The 12,778-nt window shown below is 46.4% G+C and overlaps 1 pseudogene, besides 1 other annotated feature; it reads left to right on the forward strand.

The window, feature by feature from the left end:
• Positions 4,240-5,439: an enhancer, noted in NCBI's record as "CDK7 strongly-dependent group 2 enhancer chr1:166009027-166010226 (GRCh37/hg19 assembly coordinates)". NCBI's record gives its function as "activates an origin of replication core promoter dependent on BRD2, BRD4, P300/CBP, MED14 and CDK7 cofactors, with strong dependence on CDK7, by STARR-seq in HCT116 cells {active_cell/tissue: HCT116}" and the evidence as "EXISTENCE:reporter gene assay evidence [ECO:0000049][PMID:35650434]".
• Positions 6,694-6,800, forward strand: RNA5SP64 (RNA, 5S ribosomal pseudogene 64; annotated as a pseudogene).

Here is a 12,778-nt window from a genome sequence, read left to right on the forward strand (position 1 = left end):
TATCTGAATTACAGGTGTGTGCTTCCGTGCCCAGCTAATTTTTGTATTTTTAGTAGAGACAGGGTTTCATCATGATGGCCAGGCTGGTCTTGAACTCCTGACCTTAGATGATTCACCCTAACTGCTAATAAATAGGAAAGCACATGGTTCTCTGGCCTTCCTCTAGTGATGGGTGGCTAGGCTGTGGTGGACCAACAGGGGTGGCATGTCCCTGAAGATTGTCATTTATATTCCCAGGATTGGCTTGGGTGAGTCTAGACATTGAGTAGCATAAATGCAAGAGCTTGGTCAAGGATGGGGCTTGGAATTACAGAATTTCAGACTTAAAGAGAAATCTGAGATCCATGCTTGCTGCTAGAATGTCCCCTTCAATCCTCTTAAAGGAAAATAGCATCCTTCGATCCTCTGTAAAGGAAAATAAAAAAATCTCAGGACCCCCCAAACTCTTTATGCAAAAGGGAAGGCTAAGCCTGGAGACTGAGTCATGCAACACCCTCCTCCAAATGAATAGCTATTACTAGCATTATGCATCAGCAGGCGACTCCCAAGACCCATGCTCCTGGCCAGAATGTTCCTTACAACATGCTCCAATCCTCCAATGAGTGGCCGTCCAACTACTGTTTGAGCATGCACAGTGCCCGGGCACTCACCACCTCTCAAATGGTGTACCCTACTGTGAGACATCTCTAATGGCGAAAAAACATCAGGCTAATGTTGTATTGAAATCAGCTTCCCTATAATTTCTACCCACAGAGCCTAATTCTGCCTCTGAAGCTACACAGCGAGACTCATTTCTCTTCCTCCTGACAGCCCTCCAGTGACTCGAAGCTGCCTCTCAGGTCCTCCTGCTGAGATGTGACACAGCTTCTGAGCCTTGAGAGAGAGGCTGTCCCCAGGACAGAGACTTCTCAGTTTTTGCTACTTGCTCTGTGGATTCCAGGCAATACCCTCTGCTGTCTGTTCCATTTTCTATTTCTTAAAAGTGCTTTCTCATTTCATTTCAGTACCTTGGGACCCAATCAAAGTTCCCTACTACATCCTGCTTCTCTTCCAAGTATCTTGCCTGTTTTCCCTTATGTGCCCCAGGCACACCCCAGGGCCTGCTAGAAAGAGACGTGCTTCTTCCTTCTACGTTAGAGCCCCACAAAGAGCTCCAGAGTGCCAGTCAGGAGGCTCCTACTCCCCTGACTCATGACAATCAGGAGTACCTTGGCTTAGGAAATGCCCCTCAACGCAGCAGACACAGAAGTGCAATCTTGACTGGAATCCTTACACTTACCCCTCGCAATTCAAATCCTCCCCACACATCAAGGTTTAACCTCTGGTCCTCTGCATCTGAGAAGCCTTACCAACTACGCTAATCTATGCTAACTTCCTCTTCTTTGGCAATCTTAATCTTAACGTGAGAGGTATATGAGGAGAGAGAGGGTGCCGCAGGGCTTCTGTTCCTGTGAGGAGGAATATTTTATCACAGATAATAAGAGTTGTAAAAATGGTGATAAGAAAAAGCAGACCTCCACTGAGTCACCCTATTGTTTCTAAATCCTCAGTGCACACTGTACCCCCTTATTGTGTGCACTGGGAGGGATGGGTGCTCCAGTGCACCCACCTGCTTGGCACACCATGGCTTCACAGTGACTCACAGCTTGCCATGTGGTTTCTGCAACTGTTTCATGTGCCTTAGTTTTCTTCCCCTAGTGAGGGAGAAGTCACTGATGGCTGGAATGAGTCTTACAGTTTTTACCCGCTCCTTCTGAGCCTGGCCCAATCCTGGGTTCGCAATCGCCACTTAACAGAGAATTGCCTGATTTCATGAGTTAATAATTAGAGTGATCCTCCTTTCCCAGCAATTCCACAGCAGTGCTCTTCCCTTGAAGTCATCCCTCCTGATCTGCTTTGAGGAGAGGGATTGGAGTGTGTGTGTGTGTGTGTGTGTGTGTGTGTGTGTATGTGGATAGTGAAGGAAGAGGGGTCATGTGCGTGAGTCGCACCTGCACACCCACTGCTCCTGACTGTAGGAGGAGACAGAAATGGGCTGTTATCTGGCAGGCTGGGTCTGCGCCTACCCAGAATTCCACAATCTAATAAGGACAGGAATTTGATTTTGTTCCTCTTCTCTCATCCTTTCCCCTTCTTACCCCAACCTTCCTTTCCTAATTACTTTGATGGGATTTCAAAGACCAGAGCATCCCTTGCCTGACCTCAGCAGTCCCTTTGATTTCATTTTGATTTTGCTCTGATGGGGCTTTTAACCTGTTGTAATTATTTTCCCAAAATGCCTGCAGTCCCCAGTGCTCACAAGCTAATTATCTGCAGAGCATGTATGGAGTGATCTGTCAGCTGCTGATGGATCTGGGACTCTGCAGGCCCTTGTCTATTGGTTAGGTACTAGGGGCTCTGGCTGAACAGCTTTGCATCACTCTTTCAGGGTTTTGGCCTATGGGAGGTTTGGTAAGGGCCTCATTCCTTACTAAGGCTGGTTGTCTATGAGCAACACCCAATAATCAAGAGTAAGCTCTTCTTGGATATTCATTCCAACCACATGGTGGTTAGTCTGCTTCCTGGGAATGAGGCCATGATGGGAAATAATTTAATTCATGTATTTACTCAATTCATTCCTTCATCTATTCAACATCTTTTGACCGCCTACTATGTGCTAGGCATTAGGCCAGATGCTATGTGTCTGACATAAAAATGAATGACAAACAGCCTCTGTCCTCAGGAAACTTGGTCTGGTTGAGGAAATGACAAGCACACAAGAAAATTATATATATTATAAGGGAGGCATAGATAAAATGCTACAGGAGTTCATAGATAAGAGGGGAAATTTACTTTTCAATAGGGGAGCAGGAAAGTCTTCTTGAGACAGGACATGTTTAAGCTGGGCCTGAAGAATGGGTTTAATCTGGACACAGGGAGGCAGGGGCAGAAGAAGCCCTTTGCATACACGAGTCTGAGGACTCTCCTGAAGGCCAATCAGTGGATCTGGCTTCTTCAAGCCCAGCTGCAGGGTCTCTCCAGAAAACTTTGCTAACTTCCTGTCTGCCACCCAAGTCCTCACTCCCTCCCTACTGGAGCAATGCTCTTCCAAAAGCTGATGCTCAAGGTGAAGGTCATGGCGTGTCATAGGCCCGTGGTTCCACACTCTTCTCTTTTCTAGCCCAGCTCACAAAAACTGAGGAAATGCCTTATTTCCAAATCCCACCCGCTTACTTCCCACCATGCCCTCCACAGGGACTGGATGGGTTGCTCTGACATTTCAGCGATGTTGCCACCACAGACTGAGGGCCTGCAGCACACCCACCCATGCCCCGCCCCTGCTCCTGGGCCCGGCCCTGACCAGTGCTACTTCTCAGCTTTGTTCCTTTGCTTAGCCTCTCACTCCTTTTGAGAGCTGACTCCTTACATCCTTCAACACTCAGCTCCAGTGCTGCTCTGCTTAGGGATTCTTCGCCCTCAACCCAGGCTGGCTTACGTGGCCCTCTTAGGGTTCCCATAGACGCCATCATTGCCCAGAGCTGCAACATGTTCAGATGATCGGCTTGTGCTGGTCCCTCTGTACTGTCAGGTCTCTGAGGCAAGGAACTCTGTATGTTTGCATTCCTGGTGGATACACAGTAAGTGCTTAATCGGTGTACGTTGGATGAAGAAATGCAGGTAGGACCCTCTAAAGCAGGTGCCTCTATAATATATGCACAACATTCTGGGATTAGGGATTGAAGAGAAGGACTTTGCAAATTTTTCTTCAAGTTTTCATGATATTCAACAGATGTCTCTGCTCCGGCCATATTCTGGCCGGTCAGAGGGCCCTGGGAACAAGCTCAAAAGTGAGAAAGGCTTCCTGGATGTGATGAGAGGCAATGGTGAATAGTGGCCTATAGGCCTGGGGGCTGGGAGACCTGCATTCTCATCGAACTCATCCTTTACCTGGGTCTCAAGAGACTTCAGGAGGGGATAAACTAGTTCAGCGGTTCTCAAAGTGCAGTCTCCATATCTCAAAGTGCTGTCTCCAGATCAGCAGCATCAGCACTGACTCAGAACTTGTTGGAAATGCAAATTCTCAGACCCCACCCTAGACCTTCTGGATCCGAAACTCTACAGGTGGGGCCTGGCAATCTGTGTTTTAACAAGTTGTCTAGGTAACGCTGATACACACACACATTAAAGTCTGAAAACCATGGGACTAGCCCAGTGCTCCTGAAACTGTAATGTGTATAAGAATTATTCAGGGAACCTATTTAAATGAAGATCCTTGGACCCTACCCCAGAAATTCTAGTTTGGAAAGTCAGACGAAAGCCCAGGAATCTGCACCTTGAACAGATTTGCCCTGGGAGATTCAGAAGCAGGTCTACAGATGGTATTTTCATCACTGATGTAGGAGATGACCTCTGGGTCACTATGACCCCTGTCACAGTGATGGTCTCTGGTACTGATTGGCCAGGAGCTGTGGGTACAATGAGCAGCAGAAAGGCAGGCCTGGGGGCGGATGCTCAACCTGCCTTCCAATTGCTTGGGAGAGGCCCTCGGTCATAACAATGGGGACTGCGTGCCATGAGACAGGACTACCTGAAATGAGGCAGTCTTTCCCAAAAATAGCAGAGTGGTACCAAAGGGAAGGGTGTAGGACTTCCGCCCCTTTAAACACCCTTGTAATTTACATTTAAAAATAGAAAAAGCTCATGAATAATTTGTGAGTCATGAGCAAGCCCCTTCAAAATACAGTCATGAATAAAATATCCCGCTTTACCTCCTCTAATGGCACTGGCCTTTGATGTTTTATTGATGGATTCCTTGCCCTGAGTGCTAGAAGGCTCCTGGATTTATTCAAGGCACTGGGGCCCTCCCACCTGGAAGGTCCGTGGGCTTGCCCTTTCTGGCTTTCTGGCTTGCTTACACATAAATACACCACCTTGTTTCAGGCAATTCAAAGGAGTGGCCTCAGATTCCTTTGGAACCGAAAGCATAATTACAGGGATGTGGGAACCCCCGACCTGGGCCCACTGAGAGGGTGGGAACCAAGTCACCAGAAGCCTTTGTTTAAAGCCAGGTGAGTTTTTAGAGCAGCTGCAAGTGTATCTCCCGTTTTATTGCTTCTTGAGAGGCTAGGAATGGAAAGCAGATATTAAAAAGCTGTAAATAACAATCTCCTATAGGCAGAGCAATGCCCCAGAGACACAGGCCCCATCTAAACAGAGGCTTCTGCCTGCCCTGAGAGGCTTTTGTGTGAAACAAAGGCAGAAACCCCGAGAAAGAGCTATTAAAGACAGTCCCTAATGAAGGAGGGTGTAGAGGGAGGTGTGGCTCTGTATCCACCTAGGGAGTCTGTAGAGCCAGGCTGCTGCCAGAGCCCGTTTATAGGCAAAGCCCGAAGGCTAGAGTAAATGTGGTCTGCACAGGTGTAGGAAAGAGTGTGGGAGAGGAGGAGGGGACAATCTCATGCCTTTCTTTATTAAAAACACATAAAATAAACCTTATAAAATGAAAAAGTTCCATGGATAAAAAAGGATAGTGAGAATGAAAGACTCAAAGGCACTGGATGTAGGTGTCTTGACTGAGATGTTACCCTACCTTTCCAGAAGATGACCTCGATGCACTGGGAATTCATCTGAGGCAACAGGGAGCTGAGGTGCCTTGGGTCTGTCCTGGGACTCTGAGTGATTATTGGAGGGTTGAATAGTTTTGGAGTGGGCATCCTACAAATGCCTGTAATGTAGGATCTTGGGTCATGTCTTGAGTTTGTTAAGAAAGGAAGCTATAAGAATCAAGGAAGTGGGGAGTGGGGAGAGAGAAAAGAGAGAGAGAGAAAAAGCAAGTGCACAAAGCCACCATTCTGGGAACCCTACAATGGGAGTTGTAACAGATGGAGACAGCCCTTCAGAAGCCTGGCCATGTCAGTGTTGATAACTCTGGTCATCACTGTGGTTCTGAAGGGGACAACACCAAATCTAGTGGTGATGAGAAGAGCCAAGGGATCCCAAGTGCATGGCAGAAGCCACTAAAGGCAATCAGGCTGGGGCATGAGATCGCCTGGACCTCCAGAGGACTGTGGTGGTCAAAAGGAGACTGTGTTGGTCAAAAGCTCCCTTGGACCTGCTGAGAAGAGAGGAGGTTTGGAGGTTTTGCATTACTGGGATTCACCTGGTGGGACCTAGAGCCAGTGCTTTTTCTGCTACCATTTATGTGGCAGGGGGAGGGTTAGCCACAGCCCTCGGTTGTTTATGGGAAGGCTTGTCTAGCCTGGTGAATTGAGGGTCAGGCAGGGTATACAGTCCCTGGACACATACAGGCATCTTCACTCTTTCAGGTTAAACTTTTTGCCCGCTGGGCATTCAGGGATAAGCAGGGGGCACTCTCCATTTAACACCTTAATCCCAATGCCCTGAGGCCACCATCAAGTCAAATGCCCCTGTAATCTGCAGGTTTGTAGGCACTGTTCCTGGGCCAGGCTTCCTTAATGGGTGTCAGTTCAAGGTAAGGAGAAGAGGCCCTTAGCACCAGAAGGCGTTGAATAGTCGTTGCACTGCTCCATAGTTTGATCCAGGGTCTTTCAAAGGTCCCTGGAAGGGAAAAGGGGTTCTGGAGAGAGAGGAGGACTGTTTTACACCTGTTTCTCACTTTAGCATCTGAATTCTGTCAACACACCTGGAATCTTTGCTCCTTCTAGGATTCTTTAAAAGTCATCAGGGCCCTCAGTCTACAGCCATACCTCCCTGAATGCTCCTGATCTCAGAAGCTAAGCAGTCAGGTGTGGTTAGTACACAGATGGGAGACCACCTGGGAATACCTGGTGTTTTAGGCTGAAAAAAAGAAGTCATTAGAATCTAGGTGGTCAAAGAAAGACAAACTGTGAGTATTAGAACAAGCCTAGCTTAAGGTAGAACTGTAAAGGTGTCCAAGATTTTTTTACTCCTCTGTTCTTCTTTTTTCTTTTTTTGAGACAAAGTCTCGCTTTGTCACCCAGGCTACAGTGTAGTGGCATGATTTTGGCTTACTGCAGCCTTGACCTCCTGGGCTCAAGCCATCCCCCCACCTCAGCCCCTCAAGTAGCTGAGACTATAGGCATGCACCACCATGCCTGGCTAATTTTTTTTTTTTTTTGTATTTTGTGTAGAGATGGTGTTTTGCCATGCTGCCCAGCCTTGTCTCAAACTCCTGAGCTCAAGTGATCCACCCACCTTGGCCTCCCAAAGTGCTAGGATTACAGGCATGAGCCACTGTGCCCAGACCCCTCCATTCTTCTTTAGAACTTGCTTTGCCCACTTTCCTGGCCATCAGAGCTTCTGGGTACCCCAGTTCCTGAAGCTGCCCACAGGTCTGCAAACCTCACATGCAGTGCCCAGACCTCTCATCAACCCTCCTTTTCCATCAAAACTGATATGTCCCTTTGCCTCCTGACCTTTATCTCTGTTAGAGAGAATCCAGTAAATAGTTCTAGTGAACAAGTTATAGATTGAGTCACACCTACAGCCCCTGCTTATTGCCTGTGCTTTGTGCTCTGAGACACCAGCTCCCTGACTTCTCTGGTGGTGAGGGGGTTTACCTGATCTAAGGGCAGCCACTATTGGCTAGCCTACCATCACCGACATGCATCAGCCAATCAGACAGGCTTCTCCCAGCAAATCAAAAGGGAAATACAGAGAGCAGGTGGCAATCAGGAGTGGGAGCTGAAGCAGAAAGGGCATGAGGGAACCAAAGGAGAGGGACCAGAGAGGCCACGTAGTCAATGGGCAGATTGAAACTAAAGGAGCAGACACACTCAGCAGGAGAGAGAACAGAGTACACCCTTGAAGAGAGAGGCCATGAAAGAGAAATATTAAGTAGCCCATGAAAGAGGTAAAGTAGGCAGTTCCCAGAGCTTCTGCAGAGCAAAAGAAATAATCAACCGGGTGAACAGACAACCTACAGAATGGGAGGAAATATTTGCAAATGATGCATTTGACATGGGACTAATACCCGTAATCTACAAGGAATTCCAACAACTCAACAAGAAAAAGCAAATAATCCCATTAAAAAGTGGGCAAAGGACACGAACGGTCATTTTTCAAATGAAAACATACAAATGGCTAGCAAGCATAAGAAAAAATGCTCAATATCAGTAATCATCAGAGAAATGCAAATTAAAACCATAATGTTACCATCTCACACCAGTCAGAATGGCCATCATGAAAAAGTAAAAAAAAAAAACAAAACAAAAACAGATAATGGCAAAGATGTGGAGAAAAAGAAACTCATACACTGTTGATGGGAATGTAAATTAATATAACCTCTATGGAAAACAGTATGGAGATTTCTCAAAGAACTAAAAATAGAACTAACATTTGATCCAGTAATCCCACTATGGAGTATTTATCCAAAGGAAAATAACTCATTATATCAAAAAGATACCTGCACTCATATGTTTATTGCAGCACTGTTCACAATAGTAAAGACATGGAATCAACCTAAGTGTCTGTCAATGAATGACTGAATAAAGAGAGTGTGATTATACATACCATGGAATACTACTTGGCCACAAAAAAGAATGAAATCACGTCTTTTGCAGCAACATGGATAGAATTGGAGGCTACTATCTTTTATCTTTTTTTGGGGGTGGGGATGGAGTCTCACTCTGTCACCCAGCCTGGTGCAGTGGTGCGATCTCAGTTCACTGCAACCTCTGCCTCCCAAGTTTAAGCAGTTCTCCTGCCTCAGCCTCCTGAGTAGCTGTGATTACAGGCGCGAACCACCATGCCTGGCTAATTTTTGTATTTTTAGTAGAGACAGGGTTTCACCATGTTAGTCAGGCTGGTCTTGAACTCCTGACCTTGTGATCTGCCTGCCTCGGCCTCCCAAAGTGCTGCAATTATAGGCGTGAGCCATGGCACCCAGCTTGGAGGCTATTATCTTAATTGAAATAACTCAGAAAGTCAAATACCATATGTTCTCACTTGTAAGTGGAAGCTAAATAATGCAGACACATGGAAATAGAGTGTAGAATAATAGACATCAAAATCTCAGAAAGGTAGTTGGGTGGGAGTGGGGTGAGGGATGAGAAATTACCTAATGAGAATAATGTATAATATTTGGGTAATTGCTACACTAAAAGTCCAGATGTCACCACTCTATAATATATCCATGTAACAAAACTGCACTTGTACCCCCTAAGTCTATAAAATAATTTAAAAAAATAAACGTAGGCAGCCCCCATGGCTAACTTGGTCCCTGAGATGTTTCTAGTTCTAATTTTGGTTCCCATTCATATGGCTCCTTATTGTAAACTCTTCCTTATTTGAGGCTACTTGAGCAAATCTCTGCTGTAACTGAGGGAGGGAGGTCTCAACAAAATAGTGGCATAGTGTGGATAAGAGCTCCAGTCTGTCCTTTGTCCTCTGCTCACAGCTGGAACACCCTGAGGAAATGCTTATCCTCTTTCTCATCCATTCAACTATCACTTTTTGAGTACCCACCTTCAGGCATTGCTCTAGGTGCTTGGAATACTGAGTGAAAAAAACAGAGAAAGACTTTCTTACAGAACTTCCCTGCTACTGGGATGGGGATGGAGATGGAGATACAGGACAATAACAATAAACAAATTATCTGTAAGTTAGAGATGATGGGGGCCATGGGGGAAAGTGGAGCAACGTGCTGAGGATGAAGAGTGGTGATGATACTTTTAGTGAGACTGGTCAGGGCCAGTCCCATTGAGAAGGTAACATTTGACCAAAGACTTGAAGGGGAGGAAGTGAGCCATGCTGGGATTTGGGCTGTCCAATCAGAAGGAACAGTAGGGGCAATAGGAGAAATGATTGTTATGTCTTCCTTTCTGTAGGAGGGGATAAAGATAGCATATGCCATGAAGACTGAATGAGGTCACCTATCAAAACCTTCTGCTTAGAGCTGGGTGAATGTTAACAACAATTAGATTAAAAGCCAGTTAACATTAGTGTACTTGTTTCCAACATAACATTTAGATTTGATGCCTTAACCCAAAGGCGTGAGCAGGGGGAGAATTCTGGGCCTTCTGGTGAGGCAGGAGTGAGATGCTTTGGTGCCTTGAAGCCTTTCAGGCCTGTGTCTACTCTGCCTCCACACAGGCCAGAGAGACGCTTTCCAATAGAAGTGGGGCTGAGGGCTATGGGGAGCTTTTCAAAATGCATGGGCCTGGTTCCTCTCCTCCTGTGTCGGTGGGAAATTTAAGTGAGGGGTCCCAGCTTTGAGTATTTTGAAATACTCCTCTTCCTCCTCCTCCGCCTCCATGATTCTGATACATTCCCATGTCCTTCTCCAATCCCTGCTCACTCTGAGTGAGAAGTCCTGGGCTAGAGTCCCCAGGCAAGGTCTCCTAGAGAGAGTTCAACCCTGGCTCCAGTTACAGTGCAGAAAGACGACATCACACCCAAAGCCATTACACCCAAAGTCATATTCCTGTGCTCGTAGACCTAATGACACACTCATGGTTTCATCTTAGGAGCCCCATGACTTATAGAGGAAATGCAGGCTCCATGAACCTTGTCTGCCCCATTCCCTTCAGAAACCCCTGAAGAAAGAAGAGAATGGGGCAGACAAGGTTCATGGAGCCTGCATTCCCTGTATAAGTCAAGGCAGCAAAGGGTCAGGATAAAGTGGATTCTGTCCTGTTGGGGGTGAGCAACACCAGTGCTAGACCTTTGCCATCTGCCATAAAATTGTCACAAAATATACAAATCAATAATAATTATAATGTAAATGGCACCCTTAGAGTTGTGTGGTATACGGACTGCAGAACCAGGCATGCAGCTTGAGTGGAGGTGGGAAAGGGGCTGTCTTTCTATGGCATCAGGCTGTCCTTCCAGGGGGAAGTACATTCTAACAGGATCAAAGCCTCAAGCAAAAGGAAATCCTGGCATTTCCCACTGAGAGTAGTTTCTTGGGGGATATTTGTGCTGGAAGTAGCATTTTCTGGGGCTCCTAAGATGAGACCATGAGTGTATCATTAGGTCCATGAACACAGGAATATGGCCTTGGGTATGCAGGGCTTCACTATGACTCCAACTCATTCATTCTGCCCCTACCTATCCTACCTATACTTGGGCAAATGGTTCATTCCAGTCTCTAGGCCTTAGTGCAGGGCCAATATTCTGGTGTAAGAGTGTTGGTTTGACAGTTTTGAAAGTTGATGCAGAACGTGTGTGTGTGTGTGTGTGTGTGTGTGAGAGAGAGAGAGAGAGAGAGAGAGAGAGAGAGAGAGAGAGAGAGAGAGAGAGGGGAAGGATCATGGATATAGGCTTGAATTATGAAACAGTTAACACTCACAGGTGAGAAGAGCTCATTGCTGTCTTGACCAGGGTCTGAGAGACAATGCAGCATTAGGTATTGCTGAGACTCGGGAGGAAACAAACACCAGAAGGGAAATGGCAGATGGGGAAAAGGGAAGTGTTATTTCCAAGACAGAGGAGGGAGGAGAGGGTTCGATTTCATCTTCATGCCTCTCAGTCAGTATAAACAGAGCATCCTTTCTCTGGAACCTTCCTCCTAATCGAATCCAGATCTCCTTGGTTCAGGGTATAAACAGAAGTCAAGAACAAGGTCCAATATGGGCTTTGCAGTGCGATGACCTGGATTTTAAGTACAATACTGCCACTTACCTAGTGCACTGGAGTGAGTTAATGTCAGTGAGCCTCAGTTTCTTCACCTATAAAACCTATGGTCATTCCATTCCCTTGCAGGGTTGTCATGAAGATGAACTGAGGAAGGTTGAAGCAGTTGGCACTTAGTAAGCTCAGTAAGTGTAGTGTTTGCTGCTTCTTGAACGGGAAATACACAGGAGCAGTATAAATACCCATATCAAATGTGGGAAAGGGTGTATATAGTCATAGGATGAGTTAAAACTTTTTGAAAAGTTATTACACATACACAGAAACAATTCAAATACGGAAAAAAGGCATCTATAAAAAAATGGATCTCCTTCTTACCCATCCTCCTAGTTCCCAAGCCCCCTCTCTCAAAAGATAATAAGGTTAGTCCCTCCTGTTTGAAGAGCTACATTGCAGAATCTCCTTTATTTCATTCTTGTGCTTTAATCATCTCAACCTCCAAAATATTTATGTTGCTTTCTCTTGCCTGAGAGCCAGTTTTACAGAAAACATGATTTGAAACAAATAAAGAAGCATTTCCCACATTTGTTCTACAAAGGATTTGTTTTCTCACACCCTGATGCCCCAGACAATTACATCTGCCTTGCTGGCACCTTGAGTGGCTGCTGCTGTGCTTCTGTGTGATACTGAGAGGCAGAAGCCGGAGCTGCGAGTTATGAGGTGTGAAAGGTGCCATGTTGAGGTGGGCTTCCGTGGGCATTTGAGGAGGCTGTCACTGCACCTGCCCCACTGCCTTTTCTCACTCAAGTGTGACTTACCCTGGTAATTGGCTCCTGCAAAACAGCCTTTAGTGACAGGGGCATTTGAGAGCAAGCCTCTGGACCCTTGGGGTAGCAAATGCCACAGCTGAAATCTCTGGCAAAAGATAAGCAGCCAAAGCCAAGGAACATTTCCTCTGGGTCCCTAAAAATGCCATTGATGTAGATTCCTGCTTGGGTTCATCTTACGGGGACTTAGTACCAGTGATGGGACCCTTTCCTCCTTCCCCAGGAGAGGCTCAGCCACATGACTCCTGCAAGGTCCTCATGAAGACAAGGAGCTTGGTTGTGTCCAGTTGATTCCAGCCCTGGGAAGGTGCTGCTCCACTGCAAGCGTTTCAAGTCCCAACCTATGGGGAATGGGACTGACTGACTGTTTCAAGGGCCCTATGCCAGGCTTGTCTGTC

Source organism: Homo sapiens, chromosome 1, assembly GCF_000001405.40.
Source record: "Homo sapiens chromosome 1, GRCh38.p14 Primary Assembly".
Classification (NCBI taxonomy): domain Eukaryota; kingdom Metazoa; phylum Chordata; class Mammalia; order Primates; family Hominidae; genus Homo; species Homo sapiens.